The sequence below is a fragment of the Homo sapiens genome, chromosome 6 (assembly GCF_000001405.40).
Source record: "Homo sapiens chromosome 6, GRCh38.p14 Primary Assembly".
Lineage (NCBI taxonomy): Eukaryota > Metazoa > Chordata > Mammalia > Primates > Hominidae > Homo > Homo sapiens.
The window spans coordinates 9,845,356-9,866,472 of NC_000006.12; the positions used below are offsets into that span (position 1 = coordinate 9,845,356).

General features: G+C 38.7%; 1 pseudogene across 1 annotated transcript in view; it reads right to left on the bottom strand.

Annotated features, from left to right (window-relative positions):
- Positions 1–21,117, bottom strand: part of OFCC1 (orofacial cleft 1 candidate 1 (pseudogene)) — a 506,631-nt pseudogene that overhangs the window by 140,378 nt on the left and 345,136 nt on the right. The window contains exon 7 of the transcript NR_170155.1: positions 162–238. The product of NR_170155.1 is annotated as an orofacial cleft 1 candidate 1 (pseudogene) (transcript). The remainder of the gene's footprint in view (positions 1–161; positions 239–21,117) is intronic.

Below are 21,117 nucleotides of genomic sequence, written 5' to 3' on the forward strand. Positions count from 1 at the left end.
TATCCTAGGATGAAATGGGGTCATGCTTTCCAAAAACCTGACCCTTCAGGTGAAGTGAACTAGGAGGTCTCTATCATCTATAATTGGCCCATACTCAATCAGTAGCAAAACATATGTACAAAATAAATAAAATGCATTAAATCCAACATTAAGGGACATACTTCTCAAATGTTTTACCAGTCTTTAAAAGTGACATAGGAATGTATTCGTTGAGGCCTTCCCCTTCGAATTTCAAATCCTGCATGAAAGAAAATAGATATAAAATTAAATGGATTCAAAACACACTTGAAACATCTATGTAAAAGTTGGATTTTCTGATACCAGCTATGCTGACCCTCAAAATTAAGCTTCCCAGAGCCAAATAAGAATATGGGAATTATACCTTTAACACTCAACTTATTATAGTATCTGATTTTTCTTACTTACCTAATTACTTTTCAGCCAGAAAGGCAGAGGGAATAGTAAAAAACATAACAAAAATATGATAAATACTTAGATCCCAGGACAGCTTTCTCTGTCTTTTCCTACTTTTATTTTCCTCTCTCTTTCTCACATTCACATACACATTCCACAGTGGTATGGTTTTAGATCATGTAAATGGACATATGGCTAGATGTGTAAGATGCTAGAGATGTTAATAATAATTTTATTCATATAATTTATTATTCAATCCAGGGCATTTGGGGGAAAGGGGAAGAAACAATTATGTATGCTAGGATAACAGGCATAAACTTGCACTATGCATACTATAATGCATAAAACTATTACTAATACTATTAATAATAATCCTGTAGGGTTACATACAAGCAAATATCAACATATTCAGTAAAAGTGAATGATGGGGGTGGGAGTACAGAGAGAGAGAGAGCATGCACTCAACATGGAAGCAGCAGTCTTCAATAACCTAATGTCAAAATGACACACCATGAAATCTGCTGTGTACTTTGGTCACACAGTTCAATGCTGGTTCAACATAAGAGGGAGCGATACAAAGTTGTGAATAACAGCAGACTGAGATCACTGGTTCATAGCAGTTATGAAATCCAGACAAGGAAATGTCAAAGGTTCTTTGATGAAGACTCAAGGCCTGAGAATAATTCTCTACAGCTCTTGAGTCTACCTTCTGTACTCTTGGTTCTGTCATCTGAATCTTTCTTTTTTCATGAAAGGTAACACATCTTTGAAGCTAAGTCATTTTCTTAACCTGCTTTCTGCCATAGAATTTAAAGGTCCAAAGACCTCTTTTCATCTTGTTTTCTCTGTGTCCCTTTTAGTCCAAATACATGATTTTTCTGCTTGTATAATTCTTTTAAAAATTTTGTGGGTCTCCTATGAATCTTATTGGAGTCTACTATATTAGACAAAAGTCAAATTTATAAATCTTTTCAAAAGAAGACAAGTCTTGGGGCTCCCACCAACAGGATGAAGGTCAATGCCCTTAAGGTCCCTAGAAATCCTACTGCTTGATTGAGGAGGAACTGTGAGGCAACCCTTCATCTCTGTAGAGTGACTAGAGTCTCAGTGAATACAATTCTGAGGCACCACCTTTGATATTTCTGAGGTCTTAAAAGATTTGACTGTGCTGCTCTCAGCTTCATCCATGAACCATATTTTCCTGGCATGTGATCTTTGCTCAGAAGCCATTTCTTCCTTTGAGCATTGTTCGCTATCTTGGGAGGCTGAGAATTCTTAAAACTGTAAAGTCATGACTCATTTTATCAGTCCTTTCTTCAGTTTCTCTCTCTTCTCTCACATTTTGCTATAAGCCTCAAGAAGAAACCAGGCAGCACTTGAGATTCTGTGGTCAGGGATCTCTCTAGCTAGATCATCTGGTTTATTAGGCACATTTTCTACTTTTCACATAACTGCAAACAGCAGTGTTGCTAAACACTCTGACACTCCATAAAAAGATTTCCCCTCTTCCGTTTCCCATTGAGATTTTCCTCACTTTCTTACAAGCCCTCACGCCATTTCTTGAAGACCATAAGGTTTCTAGACATATCTTCTTCAAGTACTAGAAGCCTAACACTCTCCTCAAAACCCACTGTGCAGCTTCAATGTCACCCTCATGTTTCAGGTTCTGTTATGGTAACACTCCACCTCCAGGTACCAAAATCTGCATTAGTAATTTATCACTTTATAACACATTTCTCCAAAAACTAGACAGTTAAAACAACAAATGTTTACTATCTTACACAATTTCTGGAGGTCAGAAATTCAAAAGCCACTTAGCTGTGTTTTCCTGGCTCAGGGTCTCTCATGAATCTGCAATCAAGCTATTAGCTGGGTGGGAAGCCAGGTCAGGGGTCAAATGAGGCGGCAGAATCTGTTTCCTGGCTGAGACACGTGTTTGTTGGAAGGCCTCAGTTTGTGGTTTACTATTGGCTAGAGGCTTTGGTTCCTTATCACGTGGGCCTCTCTACAGTTTACTCACAGGATGACAGCTTACTACTCCACAGCAAAAGATGAAATAGGTCGAATAGAAGGCTCTACACATATCCACAAAAAAGGGCTAACACATTTTCTGAGATGGGAAAGATAGGGTAAGTAATGAACAGGGTTTTGAGAGGCAAAATTTAAGCACCCCAATTGGACGTGTTAAATTTGAGGTGTTTTTGAGATACTCAAATGAAGTGGTAAGTAGGAATGAGACACAAGGTTCTAGGAGGAAAGATCAGAGCCTTTGGCTATCACCAGCAAGAATTAGGTGTTGGAAATTAATGAAATCACTCTGTAAGACACCTCTAAGCACATTTGTATGCATTATATTATTTATTTGTTTGTCTGTGTTACATTATTTAATCCCCACAAAAACCCAATGATGTATATGCTTTAGTGTCATAATTATTTCATACATAAGTATGGAGGCTTACAGACCTTAAGGCATTTGCCCAAGGTTACAGTACGTGGTAGAAACTAGAGTTGACTCTCTGTGATTCAGCTCTTACTCAGTGTGACTGGTCTTTCATGTAGTCATTTATTGCCTTCCTAGAACATACATTCACAGGGTAACAGGTTTTTTGTGGTTTTTTTTTCACTTACTTGACCCCCCTATATTTTCTATGACTAGGTCATAAAAAGTCCCCTTGTGAAAACAATTAAAGGTTAAATCAGTGGATGTATATGGCCCTTTGGAAACAAATAGAAAGGGCTAGATGGTAAAATCTTATTAAATCTTATGTCATTTCCCTTTGTACCATTTTCCAAAAAGGATCAAACAGAGCAAGCATGCTTTACAAAGAGAATGAACTCCTTCACCAAGCCAACTATGTGCAAATCTTCTCAAGTATTTGAGAAGCATCAATTCTTAGTGAACTAACTAAAATGTATCTCTTCATTAAGGAAGATTTTATCACAAACTTTACTATGTAATAATTATTTCATGCAGCTTTAGTCATAGTTCTGCTTTTATATAAAAGTAATTCTTTTGTTATATAAAAATTTACTTTGGAATACTTTGCAGCCTGAACTTTCCACCAGATCCTATCAATCTAAATAAGTGATGGTTGACTGTAACTGGGGAATACAAAGAAAACAATTTGGCAAAAATTACCAGTAAATATTGTTGATCAACCAGAAATTAAGATAGTAATGTTCTACTTATTCATGTAACATTCAAACAAAATTCAAAAGATTCCTGGCTATCACTGAAGAAGTTAAATATTGTTTTCCAAAATTACCTGTCTAGATTTCTCCAGCCTGGATCACCTTTTCTAACAGCAATATGAAGAAATGACACGGAGAGTGCAAGATTGTTCCAGAGGCTTCTTTCTTCAAAAGAGACAAAACAATCCCTCCAAATGTTTTGTCATTTTCCCATAAATAGCTATAAATCCTATTTTTGTTTCCTTAACTCTCTTTTGGACAAGCAGCAAAAGTCATCAAAGAACAGATTAAGTTCTACAAACTGGGTGGTTGCTATTTTTCATTTTATCTACTATTGAATATTTCACTTGGATATTAATATTCATACTCATGATCTTCTTGCTTGTGGTAATGGCTAGTATAGGGGAGAAGGAAAAAAATAAAGGACATAATTCTAGCAAATATTCACTGACTACCTCTAATGTGCCAGGTATTAATCTAAGGACTTTATATGCACCAATCCACAGAATCCTCACATTAACCTTTCAGGTAGATACTATTATTGTCTCCATTTTACAAGCAAGGAAATGGCAAAAGCAAGGGGACCTCAGGCCTAGAGAGCTGACCTCCAGAGCACTGTACCTAACCCCTATATTAATGAGTTCTGAGTTTCATATTCTGATTATATTTTAGATAATTTGAACCAACTCTATTCAAAAACAATGGTTTGTGTGCAAACATACAGGAAATCATTCCCACACTGCAATTACTTATTTAGAAATAAAAATAACCTAACCCTATATGGAAAATTATCTCTTTGTTGGAATTCCTATCAAATTTATTAAGCCTCAGTAAATATCAAAACAGCAATATTAAAATTGTCTTTGAATTCAATGTCAATTCTTTAATTTTCTTGTTAAAACTAAAAACATGCATGAACCATGCTACTAAGCAATGTAAACAACATATTTCAGTAAAATATTGTATAACAATATATGAGATTCTGAATTTCTATGTAGAAATGCTCTCCTTTGTCATTTAAACTTTTTTATTTTTTCATTTAAATATGTTAATTTTCTCTCCATTTTCAAAAAAATCACACATTTAAGTACACAGGTAATAGGAAATTTTATACTTAGCAATCCAATATATATCAAGGATACACATGTGGTATAATTAATAACTACTACAATGATTGAAAATGTGTATACATGATTGAAATAAAAATCCAAAGTTTATATCACAGGCAAGACTAGATTTTTTCCTTTGAAGGGTGAAACCTTATGAAATAATTCTCGTTAAATATAGCCTCTGTGTTATATGGTTAACAACACTCATACAGTAACTTAGATTGAAGAGTTAATCTGATAAGCATCAAGCTAAAGAATAAATTGCAATAAAGCCTTGGAAAAACTTAAATAGTTGCATTCCCACCAGATGAAAGGAAGTATGTTTACCCAAATCCATAAGAATGTTCAGGACACTTATGCCCATGGGCATTTTTCATTCCTAGATGTTTGGAGTCTGGCCTGGAGAAGGAAAAGGAAAAGTTCTAATTGTCAATAGCTTTTGATAAGAGGTTAACCGAAAGAAAGTTTGTCTAAAATAGAGTGTTATTGACTGGAGAAAGTCTCAGGACAAGGTAAGAATTGCAAACTTCAGGACTTTTTTCTAAGTTCTAAAAACCTCCAGCAATGCCTTAATTTAAAACAGCTACAAGCAATTTGATAATATGTATCAGAATTAAAGCTGCGTAGATAAAGCTGGAATTTGCTTCTTCCACGGAGAGGAAAATATGGAGTTCCTTCACACTTCCAATAGATCTTTTGAGAGAGAACACTGAAATGTAATAGAGAGGAGACAGTAGACACTGTGGTTGAAAAAGGAGGAAGCAGCACTGCCTGCTTGGTGCTGCCTGGCATCAGGACCAGACCCCAGACCCAGACTGGACCCAATAAAGGAGCAAGTGAAGGAACCTCAGGATACCACATTCCTGCCACAGACTCCTGAGATCCTAGTTACAGGTGTTCCCACAACCTGCAGACCTTTGGACTGGCAGAGGGAATTACCTGGAGAATATGTAGAGGTATTACTTGAACCCCTGAGAACCCAAAAGGCTTCAGGGTGCGAGGCAACTGCAGCAAAAGGTGAGTCTGGGCACCTACTCTCCAAGGCTCTGCATCCTGCCCTGGGTGACTGCAGCTCTTGCTGTCTGTCCAGCTGGGAGAGAGTGGGGACTGGGATGATCACCCACCCAAGACAGGCCTGGCTGCCATTGCAGTGGGACCTAGGTGCATCTGAACTGCATGCCCCCATGCCTGCCAGGCCCTCACCAGACTGCCTGTCTGGTCATTCCCAGAGGAGGAGAGGTATGCGGTCCCCATGGCATAGCCTCCATCACACTGCCTGGGTGGTTTGTTGGCAGCCTGGGAGGAATTTACTCTCCAAATCACAGCCAATGTTTGACCCTGAGGAGCCAAAGGACAAACTACTGGCACAGTCCCAGTTTCCCAGGACCCAATCACACCACCTGTGGGTATGGGGAAGAGATTTGTGAACTGTCTCCAGGTGGGGAGGAGCTCCCACTGACAAAGCACAGTGAAGAGTGTGTAGTGGTGCTCCCTTCACAAAACTGGACTAGGAAGGATGTGGCCTGAAAGCTGCAGTTTCTGCCACAGGAAGCCTTGAGGTCTGGGATGCTTGGGACGGTGTGGTGATCTGGGTGCAGACGGCTTGGAACTAGCCTAACAAGTCAGGCCTGTTGCCAGTGACAGAGACCCACCTGCGCAGAGGTGTCAGAGCAGAGCTGAACAGGCCCTATGGCCCCTACCTTCTGAGCTGAAAACCATGGCCACCCCTCTTTCCATGACAGGTGCAGAAGGAGTGCCTCAATCCCTCCCTGGAGGGTTGTCCCAGTGACCTGAGGACTTCCCCGACAACCCCTCAAGGGTGCAGCACTCAGAGAGCCTGGTAATGGGCTTGCACAATCCAGCTCCACCTAGCTAGCCCTGCCTAGCTTTGCCCCCTCCAGCTCCTTGGCAGCAGAGTGCAGAACGAGAACCCTGAGAGCCCCATGTCTCGTCCATTGCCAGGGACACCCTGGTATTGCTCTCATCAACAAAGGCCAAGTAAAAATCCCAGTCATCACCGCAACTGCATCTCACCTACAGGCCCCACTTAATGGCATGGATGCCAAACTGCATGACTCACCACAACTTCTGCTGACATCACTGTACAGCGCTCAGCCAGCTCTTACCTGCAAGTGCCACCTCCTGGCCTGAAGGTTGAACTGCCCAACCAAATTTAATTTCTGCTGACAGAAGTGAACACCGCTGGGGAATGAGATAAGTCTCTTGAGACCTCCACCTACCCACTGCTATAGGAGACAGTAAGCCTGACCACACATACTTGAGAAAACCACTGTACTAAGGATGTCTATAACCAAGGAATTCATACAGTGCCTTAGCCTGCTAAAAGCACATAGAAGCAAAACCAAAAGACCCTATGCAACAGATGGAGCAGTAATAGCCTCAAGAGGAGAAGAAAAAAAATCCCACCCAAATGTAAGTAAATCCAAAAGTAAGAACTGACATATAGAGAAGGAACCAGAACAAGAACTCCAGCACCATGAAGAAACGAAATGTTGTGGCATCCCCAAAGTGCCACTCTAGCTCTCTAGCAATGGATCCTAACCAAAATGAAAACGTTGAAATGACAGGCAAAAAATTCAAGATACAAATTGCAAAGAAGTTCAGTAAAATCCTAGAGAAAGTTAAAAAGTAATACAAAGGAACACCAAAATAAACCAGGAATTGAAAGACAAGCTGGATATGTTTTTTAAAAAACACAACACAATTTCTGGAAATGAAAAATTTACTGAAGGAATTTCAAAACACAGTTGAAAGCTTTAATAATAGATTATACCAACCAGAAAAAAGAATTTCAGAGCTTGAAGAACAGTCTTTCTAATTAACCCAGACAGATAAAATAAAGAAAAAAGAATGTCGAAAGAAAAACAAAGCTTTTAAGAAATATGAGATTATTGAGAGCAACCAAATGTGACTTATAGGCATTCCTGAGGAAAAGAAGAAAAAGAAACCAACTTGGAAAACATGTTTGAGATAATAATTCAGAAAAATTTCCCTGATTGTACTACAGATGTAGACACCCAGAAACAAGAAATTCAGAGAATACTTTAAGACACTATACAAAATGAACATCACCAAGGCATATAGACATCAGGCTATCCAAGGTCAAAATAAAAGAGCAAATCTTAAAGGCAGCTAGACATAAGTGTCAAATAATCTATAAAGAGAATCTCACAAGACCAACAGTGAACTTCTCAGCAGAAACCTTACAAGCCAGAAAAGGATGGGGGCCTATTTTTAGCCTTGTTAAGGAGAAAAACTGCCGGCCAAGAATTTTACATCCCACCAAACTAACCTTCATAAATAAGGAGAAATAAACTTTTTCTCAGACAAGCAAAAGATGATAGAATTCATCACCACTAGACCAGCTCTGTAAGAAATGCTCAAAGGAGTTTTAAACAAAAAAATGAAACGATGATACTCACCATGAAGAAAAAGCACATGTAAATAGACATATCACAAATCCTATAAAACAGTTACAAAATTGAGACTCCAAGGAAACTCACTAACAATACTGTGAAAGAAACAAAGTCTCACATATCAATATTCATGTTGAACATAAATAGTCCAAAAACTGCACTTAAAAGATGCAGGCTAGCAAATTGGATCAAAAAACAAGATCCAACCATCTACTGCCTACAACAGACATTTACAAATTCAAAGTAAAGAGGTGGAAAAAGATACATCACACAAATGGAAAACAAAAGCAAGCAGAAATAGCTATTTTTACATCAGATAAAAACAGACTTTAAACCAACAACAGTTAAAAAAAAAAGATAAAGAAGGGCATTATATAGTGATAAAGGGTTCAATATGATAAGATTTAAATATCTTAAATATATATGCACCCAACAACAATCACTGAAATTCATAAAACAAATACTACTAGACCTAAGAAAAGAGATTGGCACTGAAGCACTAGTAGGGGACTTTAACACTCCACTTCACAGTGTGCAACAAAAAGTCAACAAGGAAACTCTGGACTTCAACTGGACTCTAGACCTAGTAGACATTTACTGAACATTCTAACCAACAACTCCAGAATACACACTTTTCTCATCTGCATGTGGAACATTCTCCAAATTAATCATATGCTTAGCCATAAAACAATGCTCATTAAATTTTAAAAAAATATCAAAAGCATCTCCAGTATCTTCCCAGGCCATAGTAGAGTAAAATTAGAAATCAATACTAAGAGGAACTGTCAAAATTTACACAAAGCTTGAGGTGATGGATATCCCATTTACCCTGTTGTGGTTATTACACATTGCATGCCTGTATCAAAATATCTCACATACTCTATAAACATATACACCTACTATGTACACATAAAGCTTTAAAAACTAAAAAAAATCTATAGAAGTGCGTGGAAACTAATAACTTGACTTCATTTTACCAATTTTGCTGGAGAGGTTGACATGCAAATTCAATAAACTCAGAGAACCCTTGTGAGATACTACGTAAGATGACCATCCTCAAGACACATTGTCATCAGATTCTCCAAGATCAATATGAAAGGAAAAGATCTTTAAAGCAGCCAGAGAGAAGGGACAGGTTATTTACAAAGAGAACCCAATCAGGCAAACAGTAGACCTTTCAGCAGAAACCTTACAAGCCAGAAGAGATCTGGGGGCCCATTTATAGCATCCTTACAGAGAATAAATTCCAGAAAAGAATTATAGCCCACCAAACACTCTTAAGCAAAGAAGTAAATTGCTTTTCAGGCAATCGAACATTAAGGGAATTTCTTGCCGCTAGACCTGCCTTATGAGAGATCCTAAAGGGAGTGCTAAACATGGAAATGGAAGAATGATATTTGCCACCAAAAATACCACACTAAAATACATAGCTCATTGACGCTATAATGCAACTATACAATCAAGTTTATGCAACGTAAGCTAACAACATGATGGAAGTACAGGATATTTGAAACATAAATGAGAATAAGGAAATCACATGTGAATTTTAGCAACCTAAAGCATTCATTTGTTCATTCATTTACAATTTCATTGTCTGTCTACCATTTGACAATGCAATGGGTACTAAGCAAAGATGGAATATAAACTTGAGAAAAATAAGCCGACCGAAACTGGCCCTGAGGAGAATTTCAAAAGGTCCTGGATGACTCTAATGTTATAATTTCTCTTAACTTCAGGAAGGCAATCATTACATGGGGCATCCACCCTATAAAAAAATAAGTCAACACTGGATGCAATAGTATGCCTTAGTTCTGTATCTCTGACCTTATTGTATTTCTGCTTTATCATTTCTCCCTGGTTTTACATACCTAATTTTAAGCTTTCACCACTCATTTCATAAAAAGAAAATATATTCCAAAATGTACTACATATTTTTGACTGTCCGTCAAACTTTAGTTTCCACTTCTTAATTAATGTTTCTCTAGGACATTGAATGAGGTTTTATTCCAATTTACGTAATTATGAAGGGCTACCCATTAATTTATTATACAGTCTTCTGTTTTCCCATCAACCCTCACATTTCCTCAGACTTTACATACTTGGGCAGGTGTATTTGAATAAACTCAAATGAAGGTATTAAAGCAAAATTAGCATGTAAAATGCACTGTAATGCATTCTTTTGGTTTCAACTCCATATATGATAATCCCATTTGATGTAAAACCACAGACTCAAATTTGTCTTTAACATTTTTGTGACATAAGAAAGGCAGGTATCATTCCTGTTATTTTATAGATATAAATACTGAACTCCAGAGGGGTGAGTTTGCTTGAGATCACACAATTGGAACATAATGTAGCAGGATTCCCAATCAAGTAGAGTATGCTATTTTAAAACTTGGTAATTTTTTTTTTCATGTTCTCATTACATGGCAGAAAGTCCATTTGTCTGGTTTACATTTTTGGAAACAATAGGCTTTAATGTCTTCAATTATTTTATCTAAAAAATAATTGAACAATTGCTTTCTTATTTTCCTTGTGAGTTCACATCCGTCTCAGATCTAGAAATATTAGGGCAGCCTCCTAAGACCAAATATTCCCTTCTAGGAACCAAATCTGTAGTGCCTCTGCTGTCTTAGCCACACAAGGTGGTATACTGAGAATGAATAAAGATGAAACAATAATACTCATCCAGCCCAATAGGTCACACAAGAGCTAAAATTCACAACTCATCTGTATACATGTTTCATTTTAAAATTAACTCATTAACTCAATTTATGTAATATTCTAAATGTTTTGTTATCATTTCAACAATGTTCACAGAATCTTCATCGGGAGTAGATTCGATCTCAAGAAACTATTCTTTGCTCATTCCTAAGAAGCAACTCCTTATCCATTCAAGTTTGACCATGAGATTGCAGCAATTCAGCAACTTTGATTATTTTATTTTATTTTTTTGGTGGAGTTTTGCTCTTGTTGCCCAGGCTGGAGTGCTGTGGCACGATCTCGGCCCACTGCAACCTCCGCTTCCCGGGTTCAAGCGATTCTCCTGCCTCAGCCTCCTGAGTAGCTGGGATTATGGGCATGCACCACCACGCCCAGCTAATTTTTTGTATTTTTAGTAGAGACGGGGTTTCATCATATTGGCCAGGCTGGTCTTGAACTGCTGACCTCAGGTGATCCACCTGCCTTGGCCTCCCAAAGTGCAGGGACTACAGGCGTGAGCCACCGCGCCAGGCTGATGATTCCAATTTTGAAAGAAGTTGTACTGTGGGTAAAATGCAGTAAAATAGCACCATATGCTACAGAAAAATCTTTTGTGAAAAGAAGAGTCATTTAACGTGGCAAGTGATTGTTGCCTTATCTTAAGAAATTGCCACAGCCACCTCAGCCTTTGCAACCACCACTGTGATCAGTCAGCAGCTGTAACCTTGAGACAACCCTACACTAGCAAAAAGATGACCACTTGCTGAAGGCTCAGATGATCATTAGCATTGTTTAGTAATAAAGTATTTTTAAATTTTAAAAAATTAACTCATTACTAAAATAACAAAGCCAATAATAGCGTGTTCTAGTTACACTATATGTCTCATAAGTGCATAAAGATATAAAATAAAGCAAAATTTAAGGAAGTGTAAAAAGCACCTTATCTCATCAAGTCCACTGCTGCTGTGCTGTTGCTGACACGTCCTTGACTTTTTTCTCTACTCTTAGAATTCTCTACATTTTCTTTTACCTACACTACCTCCAGGTGTTGATCTGGCCTAGACTGTCTGAACTCTTCTGGCGAACTCTTCAAATCAGCAAAGCTTCCTCCTGCTGCCTGAACTACATTAATGATAGACTACGAGATTTCTTCCTGTTTTTACTCAACCCTCACCATATAGCTAGGCTCAAAAAGAAAAGCCTCCAACTACTTTTCTGTAACTTTTTTTAATTCATTACCTCTTTCACAATGGAAACAGAAATTAAAAATAGAAAAATTATTTTTCTGTCAACAGCCTTCCATCACAGCTCTCCTAAATATGTCTTCAATCTTAAATGATTTCCTTCCAATCAAAGAAAAGTCTCCTTAATAATAATAAATAGGCCACCTCCACAGGCTTTATTATGCCACAACAAGTTCCTGATTTAGGATATCATACCCTGATTTGAACTCACACTCCTTTCTTTCTACTTTTTTGAGTTTTTATTACATGCCAGACACTGCTAGGTTCTTAGATAGTGAATAGAAAAGACAAAGTTCCCCTTTTAGGAGTGTGTTATTTATGGGAGACTAATCTATAGGCAAAACAGATAATAGCTAAAGTGGAGGTTTCTACAAAGGTAACTTAGAACCAAAGGGAATAACTATTTGAGTTTTACTGTAGAAAATAATCAAGGAAACCAATTCAGAAAAAAAGGAACAATATGTCAATGTCAATAAGACTTATTCCAGCCGGGCATGGTGGTTCATGCCTATAATTCCAGCACTTTGAGAGGCCAAGGCAGGTGGATCATTTGAGGTCAGGAGTTCAAGACCAGCCTGGCCAACATAGTGAAACTCCATCTCTACAAAAAAAAAAAAAAATTTAGCTGGACACAGTGGTGCACACCTGTAATCCTAGCTACTCTGGAGGCTGAGGCAGAAGAATCACTTGAATCTGGGAGACAGAGGTTGCAGTGAGCCAAAATGGCACCACTGCTCTCCAGGCTGGGTGACAGAGTGAGACTCCATCTCGAGAAAAAAAAAAAAAGATTTACTCCTAAAACTCTAGGAATATCTATAAAATTATAGATTGGATAGTGGCTAGAGTATGAAGGGCAAAAGGCAGAAAAGTAGGAGGTCAAATTAGAAAAGTCGAGAAGGATTAGAGAACAAAATGCCTTGAATGTATTTCTACGTAGTTTTAATGTTTACCTATCATTCTTTCAAAAATATTGAGCATTTCTTATGTGCTAAGCACTATAGATGAAGGGTAAACAACTATAGGTTTTAGTCAAAGGAGCAGCCTGGTCAAATGTCCACTTTAGAAAGATTTTCTAGCAGCAGTGTGGAGGACTGAGCACACTGCAAAGAGATGGCAGGGAAAGTATAGCCACAGTGAGATGTGGTGGGGCTAGAAATTTAGAGATGTGGCAAGGGGATGGAGAGGAAGAGTGAGATTAGAGAAATGCATAGGAGCTGAATGAATAGGACTAGTGTTGATTTGGTTAAGAAAAAGTAGAAATTGAGGATGACTTAGATGCCATCTGACCTGGAGGTTTCTAAGTTTGGATAACCACATAGATAATGGTGTAATTTTCAATGCTATAAAGAACTCAAGAAGAGAAAGTTTGAGGTGGAAGGAGGAAAGAAAAAGAGAAAGATCCAGTGGTGGTATCTTGAAGGTAGTTTAATATGCAGCCCTGGAGGGCAGGGCAGAGATCTTGGTTGGAGATATAAACTTTGTCTTTAGTTGAAAGTTGAAGCTCTTGAATGTGGATGAGATGACCTGTAGTAAATGTATAGAGCATGAAAAGAAAGAGTTCCATGAAAAATGACATTTTAAAGATAGATGGAAAAGAAGGACCTATAAATATAAGAGAAGCAATAAAACCAAGTAATAAAACAGTTTTAGAAAAGTAGAACATGTCTAATTTTTAAGGCGATAGGTCAAATAAAATACACACTGAAAAGTGATTAATTTGGCAATTGGAGGTCATAAAAACAGGAACAGTATCGGAGGTCACCATAGTAGAAACTAAATACCAATGTGTTGAGAAAAGACTAAGAGAGAAAGAAATGGAGAATGCAAGGGGATACTATTCTTTCTAGCTTGCTTATGAAGTATGGTGGGGATGCTGGAGGAAGGATAAAGATTTATGGTCATAGAGAGAAAAGACTGCATGGCCAAGAAAGAGTTGTCATTGTTTTTGTTTCTTTCTTTTCAAATTAAGGATGAATTGGAATAAAAGTATGGTAAAGAAAAAAATCCAATGAGAAGGACAATTTGAAGATACAGGCAAGGGAGACTTTCACTGCTACTTAAGACAGAAAAAGTCCCAAGAAAATGTTTCTGTCACACCAAAAATAAAAGAATACTAGACAACCTACAAAATCATGGGTTTTTAAAAGCCTATTTGAGAGCTGAGGCCATAAAGAAACATAGATAAAAATCCAGAAATGATAATTCTCTCTTAGGAGAAAAGAAATCCACAGCTGCTTCCATCCTTGACAGAGCAGTAGAAGCAGGTAGAAATTGTGAGAAGGATACAACTGAATATCTATCTGATTTTCTAAGGCTAGGAATGGGCTGGCATGAAGATTTATAAGCTCAAGATCCTCCATACAAAAGAAGAAGAAGAAGAGAAAAATGGGGAAGAAGGAGGAGGAAGAGGAGAAAGAGAAGGATGAGAAGGAGGAGGAGCAGGAAAAGAAGGAGGAGGAGAAGGACGGAAGGACGAGGAGGAGGAGGATGAAGAAGGAGGAGGAGAAGGGGAGGAGGAGAAGAAGGAGAAGGAGGAGGAGGAGGTGGCAGTGGCAGCCAGGTGCGGTGTCTCACACCTGTAATCCCAGCACTTTGGGAGGCTGAGGTGGGTGGATCATGAGGTCAGGTGTTTGAGACCAGCCTGGCCAACATAGTGAAACCCCATTTCTACTAAAAATACAAAAATTAGCTGGGCGTGCACCTGTAATCCCAGCTACTCTAGAGGCTGAGGCAGGAGAATCGCTTGAAACCGCAAGGCAGAGGTTGCAGTGAGCTGAGATCCTGCCACTGAGCTTCAGCCTGGGCAACAAGAGTGATACTCCATCTCAAAAAAAAAAAAAGAAAGAAAAAGAAAAAGAAAAAAGGAGAGGAAGAAGAAGAGGAGGAGGAAGAGAAGGAGAAGGAAGAGAAGGAGGAGAAAGAGTCTTCACCTATCCACCAGTTATTTTCTATGAGCCTTTGCTAAGTGCTCATAAGAAAGATTAGGTGCAGGGCAAGAAAGCTAAGAGAAACTACCCATGCCCAAGGCACAAAGCACAGGACCTACTAAATACTAAGGGCAGAGCAGGAGAATGAGAAATATCACAGTATATTCTGGATCCTATACTGAGTGATTGGGGAAGAGACAGAAATTCTAAGAGAGATCACTTACCCTACATTGCAAATACACAGAAACTGCTGAAGGATTAGGGCAGGAAAACTGAGACAAACCTTCTAGGCACTGAAATCACAAGCTCCACTCAAGGGAAGGTTTTGATCTCGGCATCAGATATTTTGAGGAGAGTGGTGAGTTGAATCTACCTAATGTAACAATAAAACCCAGAAACAGGTGATCGAATGCTTATAGATTGAAACAAATTTGCCACTAATAACATGGCAGATGAAGGGATATACCTTTTTGTGGCGAACATATTTTTTATTTCAGTTTCTATTGTTCACTTAGTATTTCAACCTTCAATTTTAAAAGTTACAGATGAAAAGAACCAAGAAAATGTGATATATTGTCAAGATAGGAAGCAATCAATAGAACCAGACTCAGAGATAAATAAGATGCTGAAATTATCAGATAAGAACATTAAAATAACTATGAAAAATAAGTTAAAAGACCATGTTGAAAAAGGTAAACAACCTTCATAAGCAGATAATGAAACTTACAGAAAAGAGCCAAATGAACATTCCAAAAGTAAAAGTGCACATAGATCATGAAATAAGATACTGATAGACTGTATAATGGGCCTTAAAACAAGTTCTAATAAATTTCAAATAAATAATATAATACAGAGTATATTCTCTGATCCCAACTGTAGTAAACTAGAAATAAACAACAAAAAGATATCTAGTAAAATTCCCCGTATATTTGGAAATTCAAGAGCATATCTCTCAAAAACCCACAGGTCAAAAAAGAAATTTACAATACAATAAAGTAAATGATAATTAAAGCATAACATGTCTAAATTAATAGAAAAATAAGTACTTAGAAGAAAAAATATAGTTTTAAAATCTACATTGGGGATAGAGAGGGATATAAAATCAGTGTCATATGTTTCTACCTTGAATATTTTTTAAAATAAAGCAAATTAATTTCAAAGTAAGCAGAAGACAAGTGTAAGAAAGAGTCTTACTCTGTTTTTGATGTTTGACTGCTGAAAGCTTTCAAGCCTACCCCTTTTTTCTCCCCTGTTACGCCTCAGGTGGGCAAGACAATAAGAAACCCCAGGCATCCCCTCCCTTGGGGCCAGTGGGAAGTTCAAATTATGCAAGCACTTGTCACACATGGAAAATTTTACCCAAACTCCACTCCCTACTTACAAAAAAAGCCAATCCAGTCTCCTTTTCTGTATTAGTCTGTTCTCATATTGCTATAAAGAACTACCTGAGACTGGGTAATTTATAAAGAAATAAGATTTAATTGGCTCACACAGTTCCACAGGCTGTACAGGAAGCATGACTGGGGAGGCCTCAGGAAACTTACAATCATGGTGGAAGGTGAAAAGGAAGAAGGCATGTCTTCCATGGCTGGAGCAGGAGGAAGAGAGAAGGGGGAAGTGCTACAAATCACTAAACAACCAGATCTTGTGAGAATTTACTCACTATCATGAGAATAGCACCAAGGGTGAAGACTGCCCCCATAATCGAATCACTTTCCAGCAGGCCCCTCCTCCAACATTGGGGATTACAATTCAACACGAGATTTGGGTGGGGACACAAAGCCAAACCATATCATTCTGCCCTGCCCCTTCCCAAATCTCATGTCCTTCTCACATTGCAAAACACAATCAACCCTTCTTAACAGTCCCCCAGTCTTAACTCATTTCAGCATTAACTTAAAAGTCTAATTCCAAAGTCTCATCTGAGACCAGACAAGTCCCTTTCACCTGTGAGCCTGTAAAATCAAAACCAAGATAGTTACTTCCAAAATACTGGCATTGACTAAATACTCCCAATCCAAAGGGAGAAATACAGGCCCCATGCAAACCCAAAACCCAGGAGGGCTGTCATTAAATCTTAAAGATCCAAAATAATCTCCTTTGACTCCATGCCTCACATCCAGGCAACACTGATGCAAGGGGTGGGCTCCCAACACCTTGAGCTGCTCCACCTCTGTGACTTTGCAGGGTACATCCCCCACAGCTGCTTTCATGGCCTGGCATTGAGTGCTTGTGGCTTTTCCAGGTGCACGATGCAAACTGTTTATGGGTTTACCATTCTGGGGTCTGGAGGACAGTGGCCTTCTTCTTACAGCTCCACTAAGCAGTGCCACAGACAGGAGTCTATGTGGGAGCTCCAACATCACATTTCCCCTCTGCACTGCCCTAGTTGAGGTTCTCCATGAGGGCTCCATCCATGCAGCAGACTTCTGCCTGGACATCCAGGCATTTTCACACAGCCTCTGAAGTCTAGATGGAGGCTTTCACTCTGCACACCTGCAGGCTTAACACTACATGATGGTCCCAAGACTTATGGCTTACACCCTCTGAAGCAACAGCCTGAGCTGTACCTTGGCCCTTTTTAGCCACACCTGGAGCTGAAGCAGCCTCAATGCGGGGTGACATGTCCTCAGGTTGCCACAGCAGCAAGGTCCTGGCCCTAGCCCACAAAACCATTTTTCTCTCCTAGGCCTCCAGGCTTGTGATATGAGGGGTTGCCACAAAAGTCTCTTAAAAGCCTTAGAGGCATTTTCCTCATTACATTGACTATCAACATTTGGCTCCTCTTTACATAGGCAAATTTCTGTAGCCACCTTGAATACTCCCCAGAAAATGGACTTTTCTTTTCTACCACTTGGCTGGGCTGCAAATTTTCCAAACTTTTACACTCTGCTTTCCTTTTACATATATGTTCCAGTTTCAGATCTCTTTTTTCACATGTAACAAATGTGACCTGGCTCCAGTTTGTAGTAAGTTCCTCAACTCCATCTGAGACCTCCTCAGCCTGAATTTCATTATCCATATCACTATCAGCACTTTGATCACAACAGTTTATCAGGTCACTATGAAGTTCCAAACTTTCCCTCACCCTGTTGTCTTCTGAGTCCTCCAAACTGGTCCAGCTTCTGCCCAGTTCCAAAGTTGCTTCCACATTTTCAGGTATAGGTATTGCAATGCCCTACTCCTAACTACCAATTTTCTGTATTAGTTCATTCTTGCATTGCAATAAAGAACTACCTGAGATTGGGTAATTTATAAAGAAAAGAGGTTTGATTTGCTCATTGTTTCATAGCTGTACAGGAAGCATGGCTGGGGAAGCCTCAGAAAACTTATAATCATGGCAGAAGGCAAAAAGGAAGGAGGCATGCCTTACATGGCTGGAGCAGGAGGAAGAGAGTGGGGGGAGGTGCCACACACTTTTAAACAACCAGATCTTGTGAGAACTCATTCACTATCAGGAGAACAGCAAGGGAGAAGTCTGCCCCTATGATCCAGTCGCCTCCCACCAACATTGGGGATTACAACTTGACATGAGATTTGGGCAGGGACACAAATCTAAACCACATCACCTTCCTTCTCTCTCAAGCCATTTTTGGATGTGCTTGTGAGCCTGTCCTCTCTCCCCAGAAAGCCTTATTATGTGAATAATAAACGTTTTCATACCCGTTGGTGTGTGTATGTGGCATCACGCAGTCTCAATATCTGAAGTAAATCTGGGTGGCAGGTTTCTACTGTACATCCACCAAGTGGCACAACAGCAAATAATGAAGACAAGGGCAGAAATTAATTAAATAGAAAATGAATAGACAATATACAAAACCAAAACAGTTTTTTAAAGTTACTGAAAATATTATGAAGATAAGAAAAAAAGAATGGGCCAGGTGCGGTGGCTCCCACCTGTAATCCCAGCACTTTGGGAGGCCGAGGTGGGTGGATCACCTGTCAGGATTTCAAGACCAGCCTGGCCAGCGTGGTGAAACCCAGTCTCTACTAAAAATTCAAAAATTAGCCAGGTGTGGTGGCATGTGCCTGTAATCCCAGCTACTCGGGAGGCTGAAGCAGGAGAATTGCTTGAATCCAGGAGATGGAGATTGCAGTGAGTCAAGATCATGCCACTGCACTCCAGCCAGGGATACAGAATAAGACTGCATCTCAAAAAAAAGGAAAATAAAACAAAAAAGAAGTAACAACTGGTTTAGAATGGCACATGAGGAAAATGGGGAATTCGAAAAGTGGTGGAGAGTTATGAAACAGAGTAAGAAAGGCTGAATTTGTTTCAGGATCAGGGATACTTCTTCCATTGGAAAATATTCCTTGCTTTTCTTTTCTCTCTATAAATGTTTTACAATATAATATATACATTGAGTCAAAATAACTTTAATTAATTATACAGTGCTTCATAGATATAATCATAGTATTTAAATCATTGGTCCCTGACCACAGAAAGAGCCAAATTCCCTTCCAACAACTCTTTCGGCCACCACCAAAGAGCCATTTCAGAGTCATCTACAAGGCTGTTCAACCTATACTCCCCTAATATTTTTAAATTGACCATTGTGTCACTCCTACACTGGCAGGACCCTCTTACAAGGGGAGAATCAGTGCAATAGCGACCATCTATTAACAGTGCAAGAAAGCCTGTTCCCGCACCTTAACATGCATGTTAGGTGGTTTTAATGCTCAAAAAATTTAAGAAATACTGATGTAAAGGATAATTAACCCAAAAGAAAGAAATCCACACCAAGAAATAATTATATTACCCATAATATAGATTTGGGGGTTACCTGCTATGTTTTTAATAATGATTGTATTTAAGTATAAGGTAGTATCATTGAAATTTTAGAACTGAAAAGAATCTTAGTAATGATCAAATTCTGCCCTCTATGCAAATGTGAAGGCCAAAGCTCAGATTGCTTGCATATTTTGCCCAAGTAACATGCAGTTCCTCAGAGCTTTGGGACCCAGAACTCAGATCTCTTAACCCCTGGAGGTAGAGTTTTCATCCCCTAGATCATGTTTACTTTTCAAAATATAAAAAGGTTGACTCGCACCAACTACAATTAGAATATTTTACTTGTGATTTTATGCTGCCACAAATAATGGAATTGAAACCAAATAAACACTAAATTAACTAAAGAACTGAAAAATAAGATATTTATCCATGTAATTGGCAGCTAAGCACTGCTGGAAATCATATGGTCCATCAAAAGAGAGCTTTTGGCAGCCTGAAGGGAAGATATCAACTTTTTTCACCTTCTGTAAGGTAACACTGAGTATAAATATACCAAATCTTTACTTAATAGGACACATGCAAAGCTTTAACTCATGAGCTGCTACCTTTTTATTTTCATTTTCTGGCTTTCCACCAAAGGAATGTGTGGAAGATGGCTATTAGAGTCATTTGCTCTGCCTAGGGGCTAATTACTCTATTTGGTTCATTTTTGAAAATATTATGTTTCATCCAAGGGCAAAAAATTGATGAAGACTTGTTTCAGGTTTGCTTATGTAATTTTGCACAGATTAAATTAGTTAATCGGAAATTATGCTAGCTACAAGAGATCAGTTGGTTTCTAAATCTACAGTAGAAAATTGCTTTTTAAAAAATAATTTGAATGGCATGCTGCTTAAATCTAGTTTAGTCAATTCTCTCAGATGTGAGACTTAAGTTTTAATGACCCTAAAGGAAAACTGTGAGGAATGAAAGAATCCACAGATAAAATATTGGAAAGAGTATTCATGTGTGACCCCCTAGAACAAAATGCTACAGGGTCAAAGAATGGAGATATGGTTTGGCTCTGTGGCCTCACTGAATCTCATCTTGTAGCTCCTATAATTCCCACGTGTTGTGGGAGATAGAGGGTGGGAGATGACTGAATCATGGGGGTGGGTCTTTCCCCTGCTGCTGTCGTGATAGTGAATGGGTCTCGTGAGATCTGATGGTTTAAAAAAACAAGAGTTTCTCTGCACAAGCTCTCTGCCTGCTGCTATTCACATAAGATGTGACTTGCTCCTCCTTGCCTTCTGCCATGATTGTGAGACCTCCTGAGCCATGTGGAACTATAAGTCCAATAAACCTCTTTCTTTTGTAAAT